Source organism: Homo sapiens, chromosome 2 (genome assembly GCF_000001405.40).
Source record: "Homo sapiens chromosome 2, GRCh38.p14 Primary Assembly".
Lineage (NCBI taxonomy): Eukaryota > Metazoa > Chordata > Mammalia > Primates > Hominidae > Homo > Homo sapiens.
In genome coordinates this window covers 161,818,429-161,845,923 of record NC_000002.12, presented here as the reverse complement: position 1 = coordinate 161,845,923, position 27,495 = coordinate 161,818,429, and the positions used below count along the sequence as shown (strand labels likewise).

Sequence of the window (27,495 nt, the reverse complement as noted above, 5' to 3'; positions counted from 1 at the left end):
GCCACCTAGCCCTAGGTCCTGAAGATTTTATCTAATATTTTCTTCTAAAAATTTCATGGCTTTATGTTTCAAATTTAAATCTATAAACTATTTTAAATTAATTTTTATGTACATGGTGAGGTTTATATCAAGGCTAATTTTTTGCCTGTAGGTGTCTAATTGCTCCAACATTATTTTTCAAAAAGATTATTTTTCCTTCATTTAATAGTTTTTGTCTTTTGTCAAAAATCAGTAAGCTTTACTTGTGCTGGTCTATTTCTTAGTTCTCTATTCCGTTCCAGTGATTTATGTGTCTGAAATGACATTTTAAAAAATCCAATTATTCTTCCTTCCTTTAGAATAATTTTCTTCAAGTTGAGGGCTTAATTCTCTGAGAAAAGAATGGAGTTCTTTTCAGAGAGTTTGGAACTTCAGGGAGTTCCAAACAGTTTGTTAGTTAAGATGACCAAATATAAGTTATATGCATGGATGGTTTGATGTACCCATAGGTTTTATGAGTATTATAGGAGGAGGCAGAAGGTACTTTCCATAAAAAGGTGCCCACATGTTACAAATATCAAGTTACTAAAGATACTAAACATTTCAAGATTCAGTGCTCTATGCCAGCTCCAGAATGATGCCAATTCTTTAAGAGATATTTAAATGAATATTGTTAAAGAGACTATTAAAAATAATACATACACATAAATACATAACTATATCTCTCTTTTCTGTTCTTTTAAATCCCATTTCATCCTTCAAAGATAGACATGAACAGATCTGGGAGCACACCAGACACTGTTTCAAGATTTGTAATCACTGAATATACTGTCAGTTGCAAAATGCCTGATTGCAGTTAATGACCTAAAGTGCTGCAATTTGTTCCAGTTTTCAAATAAACTCTGCTGACATTTGTTTGAACAGCAAACCAAGGCAAACAAGAGTTTCAAAGCATGAATGAGATGTGAGGGATAATGCTAAAAAATAAATAAATAAAACTGTTGGCCAATTGCACGACCTTTTCTGTGGGGAGAGAGGGGTGGATTTAAACCCTGAGAAGATTATTTTCATTTCCTTCAGTATGTCTGGATCTGTTTTCATCCAAGATTAGCACATTGGAGTCTCTTTCCACTAAGCAACATTAAATAGGTGTTTCATGAATTCTTTGAGGATTAAGTTTATTATAATCTCCTCTACAATACTCCTATTAAAATATACAGAATAAAATTATTCTGCCAATTAGGTGCTTCTAGAGAAGGTTTTTTCTAGAGAACTTAACTCTTTCTGGGTGTTCTATTCTCACTAACTCAGTTTAACTTTTCTAAGATTTTTAATCCTCTCATTCTACCCAAACAAAAAAAGAGTAAGTCTATCATCCAAAAGGAGTTATTATATCATCCAAAATTATAGCCTTCGGGGAAATAATGGATGTCTCAAGAAAAAAACATCCTCTTTTAGGATAGTTGGGGGACATGGCTGGGGTGGAGCTAGAGAATAACATGTAATCAAAGAATACCTATAGTCATCTTAAGGGGAAATGATATACATCCAAACCTAGTGTTTATAGACATTAACTGTTCTTAATCCATATTATTTTCACACCTGTTCTTAATCCACATTATTTTCCCGTAAAAAATCCAGATGACTTAAACCATTACTAATTTTGAAGATCAAATGCCTTCACAGCATCAATAAAATTGTTCTGATGTAATAATCCTTTTCTATTCTGCCATGTATGTATGTATCAGAAGCCTAACGCTACCCCCTGCTTTGCCTCTTCTGAGTTCATTAGTGGGAAGCTTTTATAAAGGGTAACTACAGTGAGTCAAACATGTTGTCGCCACAACTGCACAGCTGTGGTAGCTTTGCTCACTTTTCTATTAATAACATTACATGTTATTTATAAGCAGGACATTGTAATTGTGTTGATTTCATTAGTCTCTTCATATGGCTTCTTTTAGGGTTTTTAAAAGTGACCAGCTGGTTTTTACGAACATTTATTAAATAATTATGATTCAAAAATTTAGCTTCAAAACCTAAAACTTTGCTTAAGTTTTACTTGGCAATGACAGTGGGCATAAATTATGCAAGATGTGATACGTGACAGGTGGAATGAGCTGATAAAATATCTTTTTGTTTCTGCTGTGAGGGTAGAAAATTATTAATCCCATCTGGAATACTAATCAAAAGAAAGAAGTGCTTTAAATGGTGATGCTAATGATTTTCTAGAATTAAATTGCATGTGAAAAATCAGATGGAGTCATGAATTAACAAAAATTAGTGTTTTTAGATGAATTAGGGCAATCAGAACAAAATTACTTCTGCCACTTTAAAACCTGTTACTTTTCGAAATCCTCAATAAATATGTTCTGCCCTTCCCTGAATCATTGTGTCTCTGTTAAAATTCATCTACCCTCCCCTTCAATATCTGTTATTATTTCCATTGCTCATCAGATGTCTCCCTGAAGCTCAAACAGCTATAGCATGCATTAGATTCTAGAAGCTTGGCTACAAACATAGGTCCATCTAATAATATTAGAGAATGTGTATAATTAAATGGACTATCTTTTTATTCTTTATAAATCAACAGCAATATATTTTGATGGTTTAGGACAAACATGTTATTGAGTTAATCCATTAGAGCATAACAAAAACCTACCTGCTCAACTGTAACAAAGTGAGAGTGCTATATTCTAGTATCGCTTCTGCAATCTCCTAGCTTTATGAGAGTGGGCAAGTTACAAGAAATTATTGGTTAAAATGAATGGGTCACTATTTGATCTGTAAGATGAAAAATCACCAATCACTGTAAGAATAAGTGAGTTACTCTTGCCCAAATATATATTCCAATTTTACTTTTCAGCTCTATTATGTAGTATGAGGGTAAAGAAGGAACTCTAAAATAAATGCTTCAACAAAATACTTCTTAGCAATAGGTTAAAGAGACTCTAACTAACCAGAGCTGTCTAGTCATCACAATCACCAGATCGCCTTCCTTCAAGTCACATAGGAACATCTGTTCCTTGTAACTCGTGGCAGACAGATGCTTCTGGTCTTAAACAGGGAGGGAGGAACTTTAACTTATCAAAATCATAAAAGAGCAAGTTATATCACTAATCTGTGGAAAAAATGATCTTATATTCCCTTTCTGTCACCAAATAAAGAAGATGAGCACATATATTACACATTTTTAAAACTACTACGTAGTTTTTGATGCAGTTGGGACAAAAAGTAAGGTAGAAGTCTCTTAATCTTAATATGTACCAGGTTAAATAAAAACTATTTTAAATTTAAGTCTATATTTAAAGTATTACAATACAAAACATCATGAGGAAACTTATGTAAATTATTTTATTAAAAAGGTTAGTTCATACTGAATAACATGCCACCAATTTAAAGTGTTCCAAAAGGCAAATAAAGAAAATAATGAATGATTTATATAAAATAAATAAAGGAAATGAATAGTTCGTTCACATGAAAAAAATAAAAACATAGGAAAAGATGTTGTACCTCACTAATAATTTGAATAATCAAATTAAAACAATGAGATTTATGTTTTATTTATAAAACTGGAAAAGACATTTTAAGCAGTTTGATAATTTACTGTGAAAGGATGTGGAGGAAATAAGCACTCTCATACACTGTTGATAGAAGTGTAAATTAGAAAAACATTTTATGAAGGTAAGTTTACAGTATTTATCAAAGGAAAAAATGTCTGCTCTCTTTGCTACATATGTTGCCATTGTTAGAAATTCACTTTACAGAAATACCTACAAAATAATGACAAAATATTTGTGTGAGCAATCACTGCAGTGGTTTTTATGGAAAAAAATAAATAACCTAAATGTCTATCAAGACTAACTGATAAATAAATAAATGAAAGTTCATCCATATAATTGAATGCAATGCAATCATCAAATAGATGATATAAATTTGAATTGCTGATATGGAAAATGTTCCAAATATATGAAGTGGAAAAGATAAGATATGAACACTGTATATTATATAATCCCTATTGTGTAAATTTAAAAGGGCATATATTTACACGCAGATTTAGCTATTAAATTTTGGGGGAAAGATGCACAGAAAAGATTAACAGTGATTACTTTTGAAAAGAGATACTGTGAATAAGCATAGAGAAGTATTTTTACTTTTCTGCCATCCTATACCTTGTGAATTTTAAATACTGGCAGTTATTAGTTTTATTTACTTTAAAATGTTAATAAGGATAAACTAGTTGGTAACCATTTTGGTTGTCTCGTTTTTAGTGTTTTTTAAATAAAGGAGAGCTGTAAAGACCACTGAAAATATATCAAACAAGAATTAACTGGGCCATTGTTATTCACAACATTCTTTTTCATAATTGAGCATTTATTTCTACACTGAGTAAAGTCAATGAATAAATGCAGCTACAAGTTTAACATGATCCAATGGAATTACTGTGGCTTTCAGACAGCAATTGCAATCTGAGGACCACTAATAAATATGCTTAAGATAAAGTCTTTCTAATAATAATGCTGTCCTACAGTGGAAGAGATAGCCTAACAAAACAATAAAACCTGTGTCAGCAGGGGCATGGTGGTTCACACCTGCAATCCCAGCACTTTGGGAGGCTGAGGCAGGTAGAGGACTTGAGGTCAGGAGTTCGAGACCAGCCTGGCCAACATGGTGAAACCCTGTCTCTACTAAAAATACAAAAATTAGCTGGGCGCGGTGGCAGATGACTGTGGTCTCAGCTACTAGGGAGGCTGGGGCAGGAGAATGGCTTGAACCAGGGAGGCAGAGGTTGCAATGAGCCAAGATCTCGTCACTGCACTCCACCCTGGGGGACAGAGTGAGACTCTGTCTCAGACAAATAAATAAATAAATAAATAAACACTAAACCTGTGTCAATGATATATTTAAGCACGTCCTGCTATCTCTGCCTAGAATACTGTCCCCTCTGCTTTTCTGCCTAGCTAACTCCAACCCAACTCACAAGAGCTAGCTCAAGAATCGCCTCCTCCAGGGAAGCTACCCTGATCCTCTCTTTCACCTCGTGGTTTAGATAACTGCTACTCAAAGTTTGGTTCTCAAACCCAAAACATTTTACACGACATCCTCATGGTCTGACTATGCCTGAGGCCTACTAAGTCTACATTTTAAACAATATTCCAGGTGATTGGTAGTCACATTAAAATTTGTGAAAAAGTGGGTAAATGACAACCCTGGGTGTGCCCACAGTTTCTTGTGCACACCTGTATCACAGCTTTCATTATACAGCATTTACAACTTTGTTTTCTTGTCTAAATTAGACTGCAAGATCCCTAAAGGCAAGATCTAAGATTTTTGTTGTTGTGCCATATCCATTGCACTTGGCACATAATGGACACTCCATAAATGTTTGTTAACTGAGCAAATCAGAAAGAATGAATGAAAAGTAAACACAAAATTTAATTCCAACTTTACAGAACTCTATCAATTATATAGCAATGTAAAAATCTTAATTACAAATGATAGAAAAAGTGATTTTAAAAGATATTTTTAAAAACCACTATGCTTAAATGTATGCATATCCTAGAAACATATTACAAATTATTTTTATCCTCATGAAAGAGCACATGAAATCCAGGACTGTACATAAAGCATTTTATCATAATATTTGCCCTTTCTTTTAAAAAAAGCCCACTTTCAAGTTATCATATACTATCATAAATTTAGGTGCAAGCCAGCAGCTGAAAAAATAGAAATAAACTACTTTTAGATTTCTTTTGTTTTGTTGATGACACACAAATTATGTTACTGTTTATCTTTAAGACTGCAGCTGTTGCTGGCTCTGCATCACCGTTTACTGTAATTACTGCCTTCAGATTTCTTTCTGACCCATATCCCGTTATAGGATATGCTCAGGCTAGATGAGCAACTTCTAAAATCAGCAGCAATCATAGATGTTTGCAAAATTGTTGCATTAGAAATCTCTTTTTCTAGTAACATGAAAATTCTTTAGTATACCTTCACCCTTTAACAAAAATCCTCACCTGGCTGTTTCTCGCCACTCAGCGTCCTCACCTTCACGCCAACAAATCTCATCCAGTTCTGTGAAAAGGTCATGAGGAATGTGTTCCTCGTCATCATCCTCGGTTCCAAGAATAAACTGTACCCTCTGTGATGGGGTGTCTAAAAAATCAGAGACATGTATTACCATGAACATGTATTACCACGACCCTGAGCTTAAAATGTCCCAGTCACTGCCTTCAGCACCACCCCAAGCTCGCACCACCCCAAGCTCACACCTCCCCTGCTCCCCACTGCAACACTCATCCAAATCAAACTCAGGAACTAAAACCAAATTCATCATTACATGAAGTCCAGTATAATTGGGGAAAATAAATATGTAAAATGTATATATTAATGTATACATATAATAAATAATAAATAAAATATGATTATTATTTTGGATTATTTTTAACACTCATGGAGACTATTTCTATTTCTCAGACACATATACTCATTTTCTCTCATCATATATGGTATATTTTATGGGTAATATTCAGAAGAGTAGATCATGATAAAATTCATTTATACTAAAACTATGCAGAATGTTATTCACCAAAAAAACTCCCTTGTGATCCTCCTTTGTAGTCATTCCTACCTCCCTTTTGTAGCCCCCAGCAACCACTGATCTGGTCTCTGCTGCTAGCTTTGCCTTTGCAAAATGTCATGTAAGTGGAAACGCAGCATATAACCTTTTGAGACTGGCTTTATTCACTTAGCAAATGCCTTTGAGATTTTGAGATTTATCTGTCATTGTGTGTATTAGTAGTTCATTCTTTTTCATAGCTGAGTAACAGTCCATTGCAGGAATGTACCACTCTTTGCTTATGCATTCACCTGCTGGAGGACATTTGGGTTTCTAGTGCTTGGCCCAATTATAAATACAACTGCTATAAGTATTCTTGTGTAGGCTTTGGTGTAAACATAAATTTTATTTCTCTAGGGTAAATACCTAGAAGTAGGATTGCTAGTCATATGATAAGTTTATGTTCAGCTTTCTGAGACACTGCCAAACTGCTTTCCAGAATGGCTGTACCATTTTGCATTCCCAGGAGCAATGCAAGAGAGTTGCAGTTGTTCTGAATCTTCACCAGCACTTGGTATTATCAGTTGTTTTGTAGCCATTCTATGTAGTGGTATTTCATTGTGGTGTTACTTTACATTTCTATAATGGTTATTGTTGACAATTTTTCCTGAGTTTATTTGACATCCATATTTATTCTCTGGCAAAGTGTTTATGAAAACATTTTGCTTATTTTTATTGGGTTGTCTGTTCCTTACTGTCGAGTTTTGAGACTTCTTTATACATTCTGGATACACGACATTTTTTGAACATATGATTTGCAATATTTGTCTTTTCTCCCCATTTATAGTTTGACTTTATATTCTTTTAGCAGTGTCTTTCACTGAGGAAAAGTTTTAAATTTTGATAAATTCTGATTTGTGTGTGTGTGTTATAAATTATGCTTTGGTATCAAATTTGAAAACTCTCTGCCTAAAGGTCACAAAGATTTTCTTTTATGTTTTCTTCTAAAGTTTCATATATTATATTTTACATCTTGAAGCTATGGTCCATTTTGAGTTAATTTTGGTATAAGATATGAGGTTTAATTCAAGGGTTTTTTTTTATTTTTTGCATATGGATGTTAAATTGTTCCAATATCATACCATTTATGGAAAAGACCCAAATAAAAGACACAGAAAAAGTATATTCTTCATGGTTTGTGCCGTTTTCAAAAATCAATTAGTTATATTTGTTTGGACTGTTTTTCTGGACTTTCTAAAATGTCCCATTGATCTAGGCCTATATTTCAGTCAGTCCAGGATACTATAACAAAGTACCATAGATTGAGTGGCTTATAAACAACAGAAATTTATTTCTTGCAGTTCTGAAGCCTGGATGTCTGAAATCAGGGTGCCAACATGGTTAGGTTCTAGTGAAGGACTTATTCTGGGTTGCAAACTGCTGTTTTCTCCTTGTAATATCACATGGTGGAAAAGGCTGAGAGAGCAGGTTCATTTTATAAGGGCACTAATCCCAATCATAAGGGCTTCACCCTCATGACCTAATTTCATCCCAAAGGCCCGATCTCCTAATACCATCATATTGGGGTGAGAATATCAACCTATGAGTTTTGGGGGAACACAAACATTTAGTTCATTGCTTTGTCTATTCCTTTGACAATACCACACTTTTTTGATTACTATAGCTTTAGAGTAATTCTTAAAGTCAGATGGTATGAGTCTCCCAACTTTGCTCTTCTTTTTCAAAACTGTTTGGCTATTCTAATCTTTTTGCCTTTTGATATACATTTTAGAACAAGTTTTTCTGTATCTACAAAATTCCTGCTTGGAATTTGATTGATATTGCACTAAATCTATGGATCAATTTAGGGAGAATAGTACCTTAAGTGTAATGATTTTTCCAACCCATGGAAACTATGTGTATCTTCATTTATTTAGGTCTTCTTTCATTTCAAAATATTTACTTCCATCAGGTTTTATAATTTCCAGAACACAGATCTTCTACCTGCTTTGTTAAATTTATACCTAGATATTTCATTTCTTGAGGCTATTATATTTTTTAATTTGTTTCCAATTTTTAATGCTAGTGTAGAGAAATGTGATTTATTTTCATGTGACCTTGTATCCTTCAACCTTATTAAACTTACTTATTATTTCTAATTTTTTTGTAGGTTCCACGGAATTTTCCAGGTAGAGATCATATATATGTGAATATGAACCATTTTATTTTTTCCTTTCCAAGCTCTTTCTCTATTTATTTATTTATTATTATACTGGCTAGAATTCCAGTACGATATTAAGTGGCAGTGATGAGAGTGGCCAGGCTTACTTTGTTCCTGGTCACAGGGGGAAAACAGTCTTTCATGAATAAGTATGATGTCAGTTTCCCTTTGTCTGAGAATGCCTTTATTTAACTTTCATGCCTAAAGAATATGTCAGTGGATATAGAATCCTGGACTAAATGTTCTTTCAGCATTCTCAAATGCTGTTCCATTTCCTTTTAGCCCTCATATTTCTTAATGAGAAATCTGCAATCATTGGAATCATTGTTGCATTTTTCTCTGGCTACTATTAGAATATTTTCTTTGTTTTTAGTTTTCAGAAGCTTGGTTATGATACTTTTTAATAATTTTGGGATTTGGGGTTTTGTTTTGGTGTTTGTTTATTTTAGCATTTATCCTGTGGGAACCCTGAGCTTCTTCAATGTGTAAGTTTATGGGGTTTTTTTTTTTCCAGAAATTTTCTTTCTTCTTTTCTTTCTTTTCTTTCATTTCTTTCCTTCCTTCCTTTCTTTCTTTCTTTCTTTCTTTCTTTCTTTCTTTCTTTCTTTCTTTCTTTCTTTCTTTCTTTCTTTCTCTCTCTCTCTCTTTCTTTCTTTCTTTTTCTTCCTTTTCTTTCTTTCACTCTGTCACCCACACTGGAGTGCAGTGGTGTGATCTCTGCTCACTACAACCTCTGCCTCCCAGGTTCAAATGATTCTCCTGCCTCAGCCTCCCAAGTAGCTGGGATTACAGGCATGCACCACCACACCCAGCTAATTTTTGTATTTTTAGTAGAGATGGGGTTTTGCCATGTTGGCCAGGCTGGTCTCAAACTCCTGACCTCAAGTGATCTGCCTGCCTCAGCCTCCCAAAGTGCTGGGATTACAGGCATGAGCCACCACAACTGTCTTCAATTATTTCTTCCATAGTTTTCTGTCTGTTTGCTTCATACTCTTTCTCTTCGCTTCTGATATAGTGACAGCAGAATCAACTGAGAACAGTCATCAACAATAGCCACAGCTTGTCTTGACATCATCTTTTCTCTGACTAATTTTCCCATAAATACGCCATCAGTCACGGATAAATCTAACCAACAGATGCTGGAAAAAAGTTCATCCACTTTGTCTCATACATGTCTTTACTTAAGGTCACTATCAACAGGACTCAAAGCAGAAGGATGGGACCAATCTACAGTATATACCTCAACCACACTGCTGATGTATTCAGCTGCTGAACCCAACAAACTGAATAAATCCCCCAAACCATAAAGGTTTCCCTTACAAAGCCATGTGACTTTCTCCTTAAGTTTCTATATTAACCTTTCCACTTGGCCGGAGGCATTAGATCAGGTACAGCAGGATATATAAGCAATTGCACAGTCTCTTCCTTGGACCACAAGGAGGTAGCTGAGGGCAATCCTATCATCCATAAAAACGTTAGTCCATGAACTGAGGCTAAAGAAGACTGGAATTGTATCATTAATCTTTTAGATTAAATTCAGGGGCAAATTTCTCACCAATTTTTCTAATTTGATGATTACCATTGTAGGGATAACTGCCTGTAGGGCACACAAAACTAATAAGTCAATTATCCCTCCAGGAAGCTCATCCTCATAGCCAAGTGTAGATTTTGGAGTTCTCTCCGAAATCGTCTGAAGCTTACATAATCTACTGGTGGTGTTTGCTTAAACATTCAAAGGTCTCTTATGACCATCCCTGTGGTTCAAGTCACTATATTTTGGATAGGGAGGGAAAATAATGCATGATTTGGACATAAGACATGCAGTCTTGGCCGGGCGCAGTGGTTCATGCCTGTAATCCCAGCACTTTGGGAGGCCGAGGTGGACGGATCACAAGGTCAGGAGTTCAAGACCAGCCTGGCCAGCATGGTGAAATCCCATCTCTACTAAAAATACAAAAAATTAGCTGGGCATGGTGGCACGTGCTTGTAGTCTCAGATACTCAGGAGACTGAGGCAGAAGAATTGCTTGAACCCAGCAGGTGGGGGTTGCAGTGAGCCAAGATTGCGCTATTGCTCTCCAGCCTGTGTGACAGAGCAAGACTCCGTCTCAAAAAAAAAAAAAAAAGACATATAGTCTTAAGGGTTCACACAATGGTCCTAGAAAGAACATGTTATTTACGATGACTGTGACCCCAAAAATGGACCGATGTCAGTTAGAAGAAACAGATTGGCAATGTCTCCAACAGGGCCTCCAGGCCAGCTAGTTGGCCTTGGGGTTCTCAGTTCAGTTCAGATAATTGAGATTATTGCTGTTTTTTAGAGAAACTGCTTGGGGACAGTCAGTCCAATCTGATCTATTTATCCATGCAAGCCACTACATGGCATTCATCCACCCCATGGAATGAGTGATTGATGGTTATAGAAAGAGGGGTAAAGAAGACACCCAAAGGTGTTAATAGGTTTTGTGTGTGTGTGTGTGTGTGTGTGTGTGTGTGTGTGTGTGTAGGCGATAAAGGATCTTTCCCTGATGTTTCTAATAAACTTCTCCTCAAGGTTAAAAGCAATGATGATCAAAATGCAGGCAGAGACATCTGATGAAGAATGTTAAGCCAGAAGGAAATTACATTTAAAGCATTTACCACAGTTTGAGAGACTCACACCAAGGACTTTTCTTTATGTGGGAGGCTCCAGGGGAAGTTCTGAAAGATCATTGATTTTACTCCTGCACCTGAAATGCAGAGTGTGTTCCATTCCGGTAGCTATAATTTCACTTTTTTTCTAACCATCCTCTATCATACCCAAATCTTTTGTTGGGAAGGGTCAGAATAAGGGAGAAAAGGGCATTTTTATAAAATTTACAGAGACTCATTATGTCCCCTACATTAATGGTACATTTGGGCAATTGCAGGGGGTCTTGGCAAGCTGTGTACTCAACTAAATGGTTACTACTCTTACAATGTAGGACCAAATGAAGCCAACAAGCATATCCAGTTAGCTATACAAGAATTAAATAAAAATTCCTGAGGCCTCCCTTTAGCTGGACTACCATTTGGAGGATGTACCAATCAGGCTGGCCTGAGGTTTCTGTAATAAGAAAGAATAACGCATTATGCCCAGAAATGGTCATGGTGGAACACTGATTTTTCAATATAAGTTTATATAAAATCTTAACCCTTTCATCTTATTATCCACATAGAGGCTGAGAGGAGATGATCAGTTTCTGCAGAAGCCACATTCAGTGACCAAACCATCTTACTTATATGTGTGCACCAGAAGGAGGTGAGAGAGGCAGAGTTGGAAACTTTTTTTAATTTTTGAAGAAGCCCTTCCAACATTTAACAATACCAGATGCCGATGGATGATAGGAAATGTGGAAGGTCTATCACATACCTTGATTATCAGCCAATTGTTGTATGGCTTTGGGGATTAAAAAGTGCATGACTCTCTGACTGTGAATGGTTCAGAAATCTGAATACATAACATAGATTAGTTTCAAGGGTCACATGGTGTGTCTAGAATAAACTAATTGGCTGTAACAGCAACAACATCCTCAGACTAGATAGATGTACCTGCTGCCCTACTATCAATACAACATTTATTAAGTTCTTGCCTGGTTCCAACATAAGGGTGAAAGAACTTTTCTAGAACTTCAGGCTGACCACAAGAATTTATCTAAATTTCTTTGATGACCTTTTCATTCTCCAGGGGGTCACTTATATTAGCATTATGAAACCAATCTGGGGCTGTAAGAGTGCAATACTAATTAATGCCTCATCTATAGTTTCCCCTTGATTTTGTCTCTTCCAGAGAAATCTCCATAAAAGGGCCAAAGTTATTTTACAGCAGATAGAACCCATTACAGAAAATTCCAAGACTTTCTACTGTCATCTCCAGATGGATTACAAGTTGGCATGATGGTAGGAGAGTCTGAGCAAAAAAGATATCCCAGTTTTGGCCATTCTTCTATTACCAACATTCCATGACCCACCTCACTCATTTTCCAAGAAAATCAGCCAAAGTTCTAATAATTTGCCTGGTTTCTGTACATAATAGTCATAAATTTTCCTCTCATGCTCACTGTAGGTATGTATCTCTAAAATTGTTGTCTGAAAGAAAATGCGGCCGGGCGCGGTGGCGCACGCCTGTAATCCCAACACTGCACTTTGGGAGACTGAGGCGGGCGGATCACGAGGTCAGCAGATCGAGACCATCCTGGCTAACACGGTGAAACCCCGTCTCTACTAAAAATACAAAAAATTAGCCAGGCGTGGTGGCAGGCGCCTGTAATCCCAGCTATTCGGGAGGCAGAGGCAGAAGAATGGCGTGAACCCGGGAGGCGGAGCTTGCAGTAAGCTGAGATCGCGCCACTGCACTCCAGCCTGGGCGACAGAGTGAGACTCTGTCTGAAAAACAAAACAAAACAAAACAAAACAACAACAACAAAAAAAGAAAATGCAAACTTGTTCCTCTCTCCCCACCCCACAGCCCAAATGAATCTAAGTACTAATTGTTACAATAGGTGAACCTGAGACTACTGCCAGACTGTAATCTCCCTGCCTAAAGGACAGTTAAATCATATCTGTTGCCTGGTTCTCAGCTTGCAACTACCTCCCCAAATCCTCCTCATTAATGAGCAATAGAGTAGAAGAATATTTATTGCTCTGCTTACTAGACAATTTGGTCCACAAGTTTGCTACCAATACCAATGGACTTCTTTCAAAGTCTATTAATTAGCTGTGAGGCCATCATCCTTCTTTTTCCAAAAGCCATGTCTCTGTCAGTATCCCTTCCTCACTGCCAAAACTGCCAAGAATTGTGAAGGGTATCAGGATTTGCCCTGCCAGTTTTATGGATGCTAGCAAAAGCCATGAGACTCTTGAGTCAGAGACAAAAGATGGTTTATTATGCACAGAATAGTAGTACCTAGAGTATCATCATTTGTGTTGCATTCTGAGCCCCAACTCCCACAGAAGGGTGTGCAAAGGGCCAGGAGATGCTGCACATGTAGCGGGATATGTGACAGGGGAGAACCAAGGTAAGGAACTCAGGTCTTTCATAATGGACAATAATCCTCACTGATTGTTGCCCCATAAGGAGACATTATCTTTACTGTATAAAGATAAAAAACCTACCCTTTGCTCCAGAGAGAGACACTATCTATATCTTCCTAGTGTGTTCACGATATAAACATACTTGTAAAGACAGACAGGCACAAAGGCACTTAGTGCCTTTGCCCAAAAGATGTTTGGGAACATAAAGGATACATGGAGATTTGTCTCCCAACAGCCATCTTCATGTTCTGATCACTCTCAGAAAAAGAAAGAAAAATCTTTGAATTAAAAGCTTTTTGTTGAAATTGAAACTTCTTTGTGAACCTTTTCACCACCTTCCTACCTCTAAATATTCCCGATTTTATTTGCCCATTCTTCAACGCATTCTTTGAGGGGGGAAAAAAGAATTCTTGGGATTTTGCTTTCATTATTTCCTTTTTCATTATATTTTGTACAGATTATATGATTTTTACCTAGAAATCTTTACTAGGTCTTAAAAAGAAAATCCATACTATTCCTATAGGGCAGCAAAAACTATTAGTCTAGCCAGAAAAAAATTCATTTACCTTAGAAGAAAAATATAATATTAGGAATAAATCCAGCAAAATTATGTAGCATATTTGTGATAAAAATTATAAAACTTTATTGAATGATGAGGAAGCCTTAGTCATAAAAAAAAATCATGAATTCAATGTTAGTTCAATAAAACATCTGGTATGTTTTAAACTTTTTAAAACACAAAAGAATGAGTAAATCAGTAACAGCTATAGAGCAATTACTGAAATCTATAATATTAATCATTTCATATATGAAAATAAACCAATTAATAAGTTATTGAAATAATTAGATTACAACTAAGTCATAATTGAGAGTATTTCAGAGGGCAAAGGTGAAAAATAAACACACAATGATAATATAGTGTCATATTTCTGTGTAAATAAATATCTGTGGTAACTCTTGCCTAACTCATTAGCCTCATCTTCTGCCAGTCTTTCCCTTGCTATTACAGTCTAGGTACATTAGCCTTCTTTAAGACTCTTAAAAATATCATGCTCTTCCCTACCTCAGAATCTTGTAGCTGTCTTAGACATCTACTCTCTGCTTAAATGTAGTATACTTTGGCACACCTACCTAATCATCTTTGTAAAACAGACATATGAACACATACATATCCACATCTAAGCATATTCATATACAAACAAATCAGGCCCCTGCTATCCTAACTTATAGCACCCTACATCTCTTGATCTACTTATCACAATTGCAACTAATAATTAATTGTGCAATAATTGATTTTGCATCTATCTTTTTGCTAGAATGGATGAAATATAAGGGCAGAAACCATGTTTGTTTTATTCACTGCTATATCCTCAGTAAATATCAAAGGTTTAACAAATATTAATTTATTTAAAAGATGAAGCCAAGATGTATTTTGTACACTTTTGGCTTTTTTTTAAAATTTTATCTTGTTGTATGAACTTTATGCATAGCTTTCTGGGTAAAGTAGGGTAATAAAATATATCTCATCAACATGTCAGCTTGTTTGTTTCTGGGTTTTTTTTAAAAACAGAAAATAAACTTGCTCAAAGTTTCCAGTCTTATTCTGTAACTGTAATTACAATAACAGGAAAAAAAAAAAACCTCACAACTACCTTAAGAGCAGCTAGAAGTTCAGAGTAAATCCATCAATATGAAAGGTAACCTTAGCCTATTAAACTAAATATAACACTGGCATGTTATGAAAATGGATGGAAAAATTGTAAAAATGTTTGGATTAATATTTCAAACTGCCATTGTATAAGAAATAGTATTAGTTAACTGCATTAAAGAGGAAAATAGATTCTTAAAGTAAATCAGATAAGAATAGATGTGGTTATTAAAATATAGGGAAACATATTCTTTACTGAACTCAATAAAACTGCCCTGGTTGTTGTTATTTTTTTTTTTTTTTTGCTTTAGTTCCTACAATATGCATTCCTTGGGAGCTGAAATGTGCAGAGCACTTAGCACACTTATGTCAATTTTTAAATGTATATTCTATAGAAAGAAATTGGTATGGTTGGGCTGTGTCCTCACCCAAATCTCATCTTGAATTTTAGCTCCCATAATTCTTATGTGTTGTGGCAGAGACCCAGTGAGAGATAATTGAATCATGGGGACAGTTTCCCCATACTGTTCCCGTGGTAGTGAATAAGTCTCATGAGATCTGATGGTTTTATAAGGGGAAACCCCTTTTGCTTGGCTCTTATTCTCTCTTGTCTGCTGCCATGTAAGATGTGCCTTCCTTTTGCTTCCCGCCATGATTGTGAGGCCTCCTCAGCCATATGGAACTGTGATCCATTCAACCTCTTTTTCTTTATAAATTACCCAGTCTCAGGTATGTCTTTATCAGCAGCATGAAAACAGACCAATACATAAATATAGAAAAAAAGTAAAATATCCTCAAATAATATATTTACAGAACATGAGAAAACATTCCCTTATTATTCAAGTGGAATGAAATTACTGCAAATAGTATAAAAAACAAAGTGGAATAATTTAGATGAATTGTAAGTTCAATTATATTGAGATTCATGAGAATCCATGACAATTTTGCTATCTTATTAGCCAAGAGGGTCCTTTAACTCGGCAATTAATTAAATGATGGCAAGCAAAGAAGTTGCAGTTCAAAAAAATGTGAGGCTGATTTCTTCCTAGATTTATTGAGCAAATAAAGTATCTTTTAAAAAAACAACATACTGCCGTCTTCAGCCTGGCTGTACTTTGAATAGTTGCTTGGTCAATTCATTAACTGTAGGATAGTATCTATTCCAGTTCACATAAATGCTATACCATATTTATTGTTCTTAAATTGCTTATAATCTGGTTTTAAAAATAAGATGAATACATAATAACAGACAATGTAAGACAATAATAATTAAGCACTAACATGTCTGGTGCTTAGTGCTATAAGGGTAAAGAGGTGTAAAAACAAATGAAGGCTACACGGTCAAGGAGGTTTTCACAAGAAGAGGTGGGATTAAGTCAGGCCACACCAGCATTAAGGACATAATATTTTTGACTATATGGTAAAAGAAAAAGATCCAGGATTACTGAGACAAAATTAATGGTTTGGTTTAGGCAATGGATTTAGAAATACAATAATATAGAAATAGAATAATTCTAATAGAATTATTCTAATAGAATAATTTAGAAATAGAATAATGCAAGAAAATATCTCAGTAGCTGAAGTTCAAGATGAAATCCCAGGTCTGAAATCCACTGCATGCTCTAGAGAGGGATTTGATGCAGATGTAGATTATACATATATATATATATATATATATATATATATATATATATATATGAATTAGAATTAAAACCAAGGAAAAGCTGGAATCCAGCCGAACCTGAAGCATTAAGATCCCGGGTAAGCAGTAAAACAATAGCCAGGTTGTCTGAATCAAACAAGGATGAAAAAATACCAGAGAGAAGAAAAGCAAAAATTCCAATACTAGGGAACCAGAAAGAGTCCTTTCCTATGCATGTATATATAATATATGGTAAATAATATGTATATATTTATATATACAAATAAAAATAAGCATATATAAAATTATACTACATATTTAAAATATATAGAGATATATAACATTTTAAATGAGGATTATATCTTTAATAATTGATGACTGGTTGAAATTAGTGTGGACCAAACTGGAAGCAGTCAATATCAAAAATTCAAAAGCTCAAGAAAAAAACAGTAATTTAGTTTTGTAAGCAAATCCAAGGGTCAGTAGTACAAAAATGAAATTCCAAAAAGCAGATCTGCAGGCAGAAGTAAAGGAACAAGTGAGTCATGAATACTGTTTTGTAAGAAGTTAATAAAATACAATAACTAGGTTTATCACACTAGTTTGCATCATGTAATGAGCACAAGTCCAAATGCGCAGGCTTTGTCTAGCAAAGTGGTTCCATCATAGGAAAACTGGAGTGAAATAGAATATCTCATTAAAGGGAAACTTGGTTGCAAGACAGGAATATGGATAACAGAAAGAAGCAAAGAAATAATAGCACTGGAGAGCTGGGGACCAAAGTCAGAGTAAACCCAGGAGTAAGACGCTAGCAATGGTGAATAAGCAATGTACTGATATTGGCCTCCTTATATTTCTACCTGCCAGAATTAGTCTCCCAGAAGATTGGACCAAGCCCCAAAAGAGGAAATTATAGATGTAAAAATACTTTTCAAGCAATAAAGAATCACATAAATATTGGCCGGGCGCGGGGGCTCACGCCTGTAATCCCAGCACTTTGGGAGGCCGAGAAGGGCGGATCACGAGGTCAGGAGATCGAGACCATCCTGGCTAACATGGCGAAACCCCGTCTCTACTAAAAATACAAAAAATTAGCCGGCCTGGTGCGGGCGTGCCTGTAGTCCCAGCTACTCGGAAGGCTGAGGCAGGAGAATGGTGTGAACCCAGGAGGCGGAGCTTGCAGTGAGCCGAGATCGCGCGCCACTGCACTCCAGCCTGGTTGACAGAGCGAGACTCCGTCTCAAAAAAAAAAAAAGAATCACATAATATTACTGATGATTATATTAGAGATAGGGGGTGATGGTTATAATGATGATATAGAATTACCTACCAGAAATAGAGAGCTTTACAAATTGAAGCAGGTAGAATAATCATGCCATTAATTAAAAGAGAGTTGTCAGAATGAGAGCCAGCATTGTAGGTTGGGTGCTCCAAAGATAAGTTTTGCATATGCTAACTTTGAGGTGACTAAGGGACCATCATATGAAGAAGGTCATAAGGCAGTTGGAGATTTGAGATTGGATTCTGGAAGAGAGAGCAGGGACAGAGATAGAGACATAGATAACATTTAACTAAAGATATCACATGATTACAATGATGATGATGACTCAAAATGAAAGTCTTGAGAGAGAAGAAGACTCAACACTGGAGAAGTAATAAGGTTTAAGATTTGGCAGAAGGAAAATAAGTTAACAAAAGAATCGGAAAAGGAATAAATATGTAAAAGGATTAATACATTACACAAACATTTAATGAACACCTTTCTTTTGTCAGATACCATACTAAGTAGTGAATAAGACAGATATAAACAGAAAAAAAGCCTCTGCCTTCATGGAACATACATCTCACGGAGAGAGTAGTATAACCAGGAACAAAGTAGAAAAGAATTTAAAAAGAATAAGAAGTCAATAATGTTGGATGTTGTAGGGTGGTCAATGAGAACTGTGTTAAGAGAAAGAAGATCTGGCTAGCCTAATTTTCAATAGCACTGGAATTCCAAAGAACATTTATTACTGTTATAATCAGAAATAGACAAATAAGGTATTTCCATTTGGAATATGGACTGTATTTTCAACAAATAATTAGTTAAGAAAATCAAATTTAAATCATTATGCTATCTGAGGAAAGCCCTTGTAGAATCATAACTGGAAACAACAAATTCCTTAGCAAACTTCTATCTTTGCATTATTAGCTATATTACTTATATTGCCTTAATAACTCACATACTAATTAACCAGGGCTTAAAGAGATAGTTCCTAATAATCAGTGAAAATACTCTCCTTTTGCAGGCCCTCTCCAAAAGCACTCTATTTTTTAGACACTTTCTGGACAATATTTTACAAATATGTTGAGAATATATATTTATCATGCCAGCATTACAAGTACAATGACAGAAGTGAATTGAAAAACTTCCATTTTAATATGTAATCTTGCTGTCATGAAGTACACAAGCCTTGGTTACTATGACATTTAGCTTAAGAGAACAGATTCACAAAATGCTTACCATTGTGAATTTCTGAATCACAGACACTTTTCTTCCTCTTTATCTTTGTTATAGTTCAGATGAATCCATATTCAGATAATCTATCTTATGAAATTATGACAAGTTTGGTAGTTCTGTTCCAAATTTATGTCTCCAGTCTCCTTGAAGCTCAATAATATTTTCCATTTTTAGTTGAACTTTAAAATTGTGTTCATAGTATTTGAATGTCATGCACAATCTATTCATTGAAATTTCTAGATTTTAATTCATTTACATAATTGAAATAATATAATATTATCAATTCTAATTAGTAATTTCATTACAGGGTAATAGATTGGTAAAATGAATGTTTCAGATGAAGCACCAAGAACAGATATTTATTTCCACATGGGATATAAGATTATATGCAGAATTTGCAAACCATGCTCTAAAAACCTAGTTATGTGACTCTAATTTTTCACCCACACAGAGGCTGGCTATAAAGGATCATGAGATGAAACAGACACATTTTAGAGTTCTTCGGAAAGAGCTGTAACATGAGTCTGACATTTACTTATTCTCCTTAAAAGGGATGGCAGTAGGGGTATGATTCTTACCTGAGAAACATAAAGTCAGCCTAGCTGCTGATGGCTGACATTGCTGCATTCAATAACACACACTTTCAGTATTTACCAGAGCACTCAATCTGAGTGTGTGTGTGTCTTCTGTGAATCATACATAAGCCACACACATGAGAGGGGAGCGGGGAGAAGAGAGAGAGAGGGTGTGGAATATAGAGTCATCTTGGGCTGCCACAGAGCACTGAGAATATTTCAGCAGAGAGACTCTATCATTATAACTGAATGCCTAGGGGATGAAGAGGAATAAATAGTAACGCAGAAAAGAGTGCAGGTGAGAAAACCTCCAGGAGAGAATGAATAAACTCAAATTCTTGCTAAGCCTAAGGAGTGTGACATTAACTTGCCACAGTAGCAGTGAAGTAAGAACTTTCCTGCTTTACCTCCATTAGAGATAAGAAACTAGAGCTAGGAAGATGATGGAGCATCTGCAGGAAGATGTTCAAGGTAGAAAAGAAAAAAAAGCAACTACAGTTGACTCTTGAATAACACAGGTCTTAAAGGTGCTGATCTCCCACACAGCTGAAAATCTGTATATAACTTTTGACTCCCTCAAAACTTAACTACTAATAGCCTACTGTTGACCAGGTGCCTTAATGATAACATAGTCAATTAACACATAATGTGTATATTATGTGTATTATGTACTGTATTTTTACAATAAACTGGAGAAAACAAGAAAATCACAAAGAAGAGAAAATATATTTACTACTCATTAAGTGAAAATGGATTATATAAAGGACTTGATCCTCATTGTCTTCATGTTGAGTATGCTGAGGAGGAGGAAGAGGAGGGGTTGGTCTTGCTATCTCAGGAGTGGCAGAGGCAGAAAAGGTAGAAGGGGAGGCAAGAGAGGCAGACACACTTGATGTAACTTTATGGAAATAAATTGTAATTTCTGACCTTTTCGCTTTTTCATTTCTCTAAAACTGTTTCCATGAGATGCGATCCTTCTTCCACCATTTATTTTAGTTTCAGTGCACATATTATAGAAGGGTCCATGTTGTAAAAAAAGTTGAACCTAGTCTTGAATAATTGTAACTCTTCTGCCAGATTGTCTAATGTGAATTTGTTTTCTGGCACTGCTTTTTCAATGTTTTCTTCCTTATCTTCTGGCGCTGGTTTAGAAATACTCATCTTCATCGAGTCATCTTCTATTAATTCCTCTGACATGGTTTCTGTTTGCTGTTGAGTTTCTCCAAGATCCATATCCTGATACCTTTTACCCCCACCTTTTTCGCCATATTCACAATCTGTTTCATAATTTCCTTGATTGGCTGTGTTGTAAATCTTGTGATGTCATGCACACTGGAACACAGTTTTCTCCAGCAGGAATTTGTGGTTTCAAGCTTGATGGCTTTCATGGATTTTTCTGTAGCAATGAAGGCATCTTTAATGGTGTAATCCATCTAGAGTTTCATGATGTCTTCTCTATTGGGGTTCTCTTCCACATTATTGACGATGCTTTCCATAGGGTACCATGTGTAATGAACCTTAAAGGTCCTTACAAAACCTGATCTAGAAGCTGATTATAAGTTTTGTGTTTTGGGGCAAGTAGATCACTTTAACACCTTCATGAACATTAGCTCCTGGGTTTCTACACGGCCAGAGGCATTGTCCAACATTGAAAGGATTTTCAAAGGCATTTCCTTACCGGTAAGGTACTTCCTGACTTCAGGGACAAAGCATCGATAGAACCAAAGTAGAAAAAGGATTCTCATTGTCCAGGCCTTTTAGTACAACCAAGAGACTGGCAGGCAGTACTCATCTTTTCCTTTCAAGGATCTAGGGTTAGTAGTTTTATAGATAAGGGTAGTCTTGATCATAAACCTAGCGGCAATTGCCAAAAAACAGTAGTTAGCCTATTCCTTTCTGCTTTAAATACTGATGTTCTCTTCCTTTGTGGCATTTTCCCCCCAGAATTGGGCACTTTCGTCTGCTTTAAAAACCTGTTCAAGCAGATATCCTTTCTCTTACAAAAATCATAAATGAAAGAAAATACACTTACAGTACTTTACTGTATTTGTTGATAAGTTTCTGCATCTTTTTATGTTATCTGCCTGAAACGGTGGGCAACCACTGCTGCAAACCTCAATCTGCAGTACATGTCAAGCAATTCAACTTTGTCTTGTAATGTTATGACTTTTCTCTGCTTCTTGGGAGCACTTCGAGCATCACTGTGGCACTTCATACGGGTTCCGTGGTTATATTCAAGGTTCACAATATTATACTAAACATGATGAAAAATATGTGAGAACCATGAGAGATCATTCTTTTTACGGCAATATGCTGTTTACTGAAGAGATGAACTGCTCAGGTAGACGTGATTAGCATCACAAGGTGTTTTAAGTGGATACTGGAAACACTTGCACTCACACAATAGCAACAGCAAGTGGCTACAACATTATTACAGTAGTACATTAAGTACAACAGTAAACTGTATGCAGTTATGATTTAATACTGCATTTTTTGCACTTGTTTACATTTCTCTCAGTTGCCAATGACACCATGCACAATCTATAAGTGTTTGTGTACATAAGGCCTGATAAATTTCAACTTTTATAATAGATTTGTGTAGATTTTATGGTAGTATGTGATACAATAGACTAGTATCTACCTATATGTTATGCATTCATGACATACTTTTTTCCTAATTTTTTTATATTTCTAGGCTATGCAGTTTATCTGTGAGTTTTTTCAAAATGTCACAAATCTAAAAAAAAAGTATATATATATACACATAATTTTTTTTGAGACAGTTTCTTTCTGCCATCCAGGCTGGAGTGCAGTGGCACTGTCTTGGCTCACTGCAGCCTCCACCTCTTGGGTTCAAGCAGTTCTCCTGCTCCAGGCTCCCAAATAGCTGGGACTACAGGTGCGCATCACCATGTCTAGCTAATTTTTGTATTTTTAGCAGAGAGGAGGTTTTGCCATGTTGGCCATGATGGTCTCCAACTCCTGGCCTCAAGTGATCTGTGTTTCTAGGCCTCCCAAAAGGCTGGGATTACAGGCATGAGCCACTGCGCCTGGCCCATACATTTTTAATATAAAAATACATAATATACAAAAACTACATAATATACATATAAATGTAAAAGTCTATGTGTAAGTGGACCTGCACAGTTCAAACCCATATTGTTCAAGGGTCAACTGCATTTTTAATTAGCCTGTTATCTCTCAGACTAGTTGGTCTAGAAAAAATATCAGTACTTTGAATAGCCATTTAAAAAAAAGCACAATTTGTGATTCTAGAGTTACACTAAGAAATCAATTAAATATTCCCATTAGACTGACCCAGTGTGAGCAGACATAGTCATTTTGTGTTGCATGACAACCAGTTCTGACTACCCAATCACTTCTCAGAGGTCACATCTCATAGCAGCCATGCTTCCACATTGGTATTAGGGTCCCCATGTCTCTGAAACATTTTCTCTCATCACTGTTTCCAAAGACTTATTTCAGTTCACTCTTCATCAGTAATCTGGATGTCTATAATACCATGCATCCAACCCCCAAATCTCAATTGCTATGTACATGAGTGTTAATTTTAAGGCTTATTAGTGTTTCCTTTTATAAAGCATGAGGCTTACTCACTACACACCTTTAAAATACTATTTGTAAGTAAACATGTGGTTATAACACCCTCACAGTTATGAATAAGGAGTATTTGAAAGTGTGAGATAGGGTGTCAGGTATTCAAAAGGCTTCCCTAAAACACAATGATAGCAGCAATGGTAAAGAAAATAATAATTTATTGAAATAGGGTCATCTATTCAGCGACAAGAAATATTTTATTTTGATTCAAGATAACGTATGGTTCCCTGTATCAGGCCTTCATTCTTTAAAATAGAAATGATTTTATAGGTATTAGGTTATTTTCACAAAAGATTTTTCATAACCATCCTACTAACATATTTTTAACATCTTAAAAAGGGATTAAGATTATGTTTCAATACAGTAAATTTTCCAAATGTGTAATTCAACACCCATTTTTCATGTCTATTAAAAATAGACACCTTAAAATAGTATTACATATTTCATGTAAATTGCAGTACTATCAAAATCAGAAAAAATCTTCCTGTTAAAAATTGTTATTTTTATTAGAGATGCTGTCTTGTTCTGTCACACAGTCTGGAGTGCAATGGCATGATCACTGTAACCCTGAACTCCTGGGCTCAAGCAATTCTCTCACCTCAGCCTTCTAAGTAACTGGGTTTATAGGTGTGAGCTACAGCACCTGGCAGAATTGTCTAAGTTAATAGAATATTTCTCCTGTGTTGATGGATGTTTATTTTTATGATAGCCACTGAAACCATAGAGCAGTGAAATACAAACTTCAGCCAAGATTATGGAAGATCAAGATATGGGTCTGCTTCTATATATACTAAAACATATAATGGAAATAAATAACATAGAAAAATTTGCCTAAAGAATAAAGGTATCAGCCTCTTAGCAGACTCTGCTGGAATCTGTAGCCACATCAAAAAAATACCATTATGAGAGTGAAATCAGAACCCACAATAGTGAGAAGATATTTAAAACACATAAAACTAACAAAGGACTTATTTCCATAACATGTAAAGAACTTCTACAAATCAATAAAAGCTCATTAAAAATATGACTTTGGTAGGCACTTCCTAGAAGAGAATATCCAAATGGCCAAAGGCATATGCAAAGTTACTCAATTTCATTGGTAATCAAGAAATATAAATTAAAACAATAAGATATAATTACATACCTTAAGAGAATGGCTAATGTTAAAAGAATGGAATTACCAAGTGTTAGTAAGGATGCAAAAAAACATAAGTTCTCACACTTTATTGGTGGGAATGTAAATATGTACCCCAATTTTGGAAATCTATTTGGCATTATCTACCAAAACTGAAAATATGCATGTCCTATGACTCAGCAATTGATAATTTCATTCATCGGTATGAGAAATGCATATGTATACCAAAAGACATATAGAAAAATGTTCACAGCATTATTACTTGTAGTAGCTTCTAATTGCATATGATCCAAATGACCATCAATAGTAGAATGCATACATACCGTGCATATAGAAGCACATTAACATACTATACAATAATGAAAATGAATAGGCTGAAGCTACATCAAAAACATTGGTGAATTCCATAAACAGAACACTGAGCAATTAATTCCTCTTATATGATTTCATTTATATAACGTTCAAAAACAAGCAAAATACCCATTGTAAAAAGAAAGGCCAGAGATTCTTTTGAGGAGGATGGAAAACCTAATGACTGGTAATGAGCACAAAGTGAGTTTCTAGAGTGCCAGCCAAGGTGGTATTACACAGATGTTCTGGTGTGATAATTCATTGGGTTTTATATGTATGTTTCTATGCTTTAACACTTGTGAATGCTTGTCTTATACTTTACAATAAAATACATTTGTAAAAACACCTTGATATTCTCATATAGCACCTAATTGGTCATTAAAATAGGAACAGGAAGCCACTGTCCATCAAAAAATTGCTCTTTGAGGTCATGTTTTCTATATTTGCTTCATTTCTCCTAAAGAGTGTGCACAATTTACCACCTAAGACTGACAAAATCCTATTATAATTCCAGGACTGTGTTAATTTATTCAGTATCTTTGTGTACCATATTTTAAACATGTGTTTAATAGTCTGTATCTTTTAGATTTATTTCTACTTCTTATACATTAGCTAATTGTAATTGGCATAATCCTATCATCTTTTCTATTAGATTCTTTTCAGGGAGGTTGAGGAAAAAAATAAACGTTGAAGTGTTACAAATTTCCCTCATCATCTTTCATATTTTCACTGACTTCAAGCTTATGCTTCAAACTTACCAATTTAAAGCAGCTCATCCATGTTCCCAGTTGAAAATATAGTTTCAAATTATACAAAGAGAATAGAAGATGACATTAAAAATAACAAATGTGGGCTGGATGCGGTGGCTCATTCCTGTAATCCCAGCACTTTGGGAGGCTGGTGCGGGTGGATCACGAGGTCAGGAGTTCGAGACCAGCTTGGCCAACATGGTGAAACCCCGTCTCTACTAAAAATACAAAAAATTAGCTGGCTGTGGTGGCAGGTGCCTGTAATCCCAGCTACTCAGGAGGCTGAGGCAGGAGAATCGCTTGAACCAGGGAGGCAGAGGTTGCAGTGAGCCAAGACTGTGCTACAGCACTGCAGCCTGGCCAACAGAGTGAGACTCTGTCTCAAAAAAAAAAAGTGAAATTTTAGCAGCTTTGTTACTGGGGAGTTGATTGCAATAGGAAGGAGAATTAATTAAACATCATCACATTCATCTAAACAAATTAATATATTTATTATATTTATTAAGTACAGTAGCCAAAGTAGGTTGAACTTATTTGTGGGCATTAAAAGTTTTTTGTATGAGCAAAACATCACCACCACCACTACCACACAGACCAAAAGCCAGTTCCTCTTTAGACTCACCTAGGAATCACAGCCCAACCATGACATATGGTAGGCTTGAACCAGTCATTGTTTTCCTATGATGTAAGCATAAACTCTTCCGTCTATATTAAAGGCCTATTCTTTTACCTGAATGCAACACTAATGCAACTAGGATGTTTTAACAACACTGTATTCTATGATTGGGTCTCATAATAAAGTAGGATTCTGCTGATGTTGCTTATACGTTGGAGTAATAAAACTTTTTAAGAGTGCCCAAATTCCAATCGATAGAAAAAGAAGGAATCCTCCCTAACTCATTTTATGAGGCCAGCATCATCCTGATACCAAACCCTGGCAGAGACACAACAAAAAAAGAGAATTTTAGACCAATATCCTTGATGAATATTGATGCAAAAATCCTCAATAAAATACTGGCAAACTGAATACAGCAACACATCAAAAACTTATCCACCATGATCAAGTGGCCTTCATCCCTGGGATGCAAGGCTGGTTCAACATATGCAAATCGATAAATGTAATCCAGTATATAAACAGAACCAAAGACAAAAACCACATGATTATTTCAACAGATGCAGAAAAGGCCTTTGACAAAATTCAACAACCTTTCATGCTAAAAACTCTCAATAAATTAGGTATTGATGGGATGTATCTCAAAATAATAAGAGCTATCTATGACAAACCCACAGCCAATATCATACTGAATGGACAAAAACTGGAAGCATTCCCTTTGAAAACTGGCACAAGACAGGGATGCCCTCTCTCACCACTCCTATTCAACATAGTGTTGGAAGTTCTGGCCAGAGCAATCAGGCAGGAGAAGGAAATAAAGGGCATTCAATTAGGAAAAGAAGTCACATTGTCCC

The 27,495-nt window shown here is 35.6% G+C and overlaps 1 protein-coding gene across 25 annotated transcripts in view; it reads right to left on the bottom strand.

Annotated features, from left to right (window-relative positions):
• The window catches only part of SLC4A10 (solute carrier family 4 member 10), a 360,855-nt gene that overhangs the window by 139,347 nt on the left and 194,013 nt on the right, over positions 1–27,495 (bottom strand). For all 25 annotated transcript variants that reach the window (NM_001354461.2, NM_001354447.2, NM_001354441.2 and 22 more), the window contains one exon: positions 5,997–6,135. In NM_001354461.2, coding sequence (NP_001341390.1) covers positions 5,997–6,135 — 139 coding nt within the window. The remainder of the gene's footprint in view (positions 1–5,996; positions 6,136–27,495) is intronic.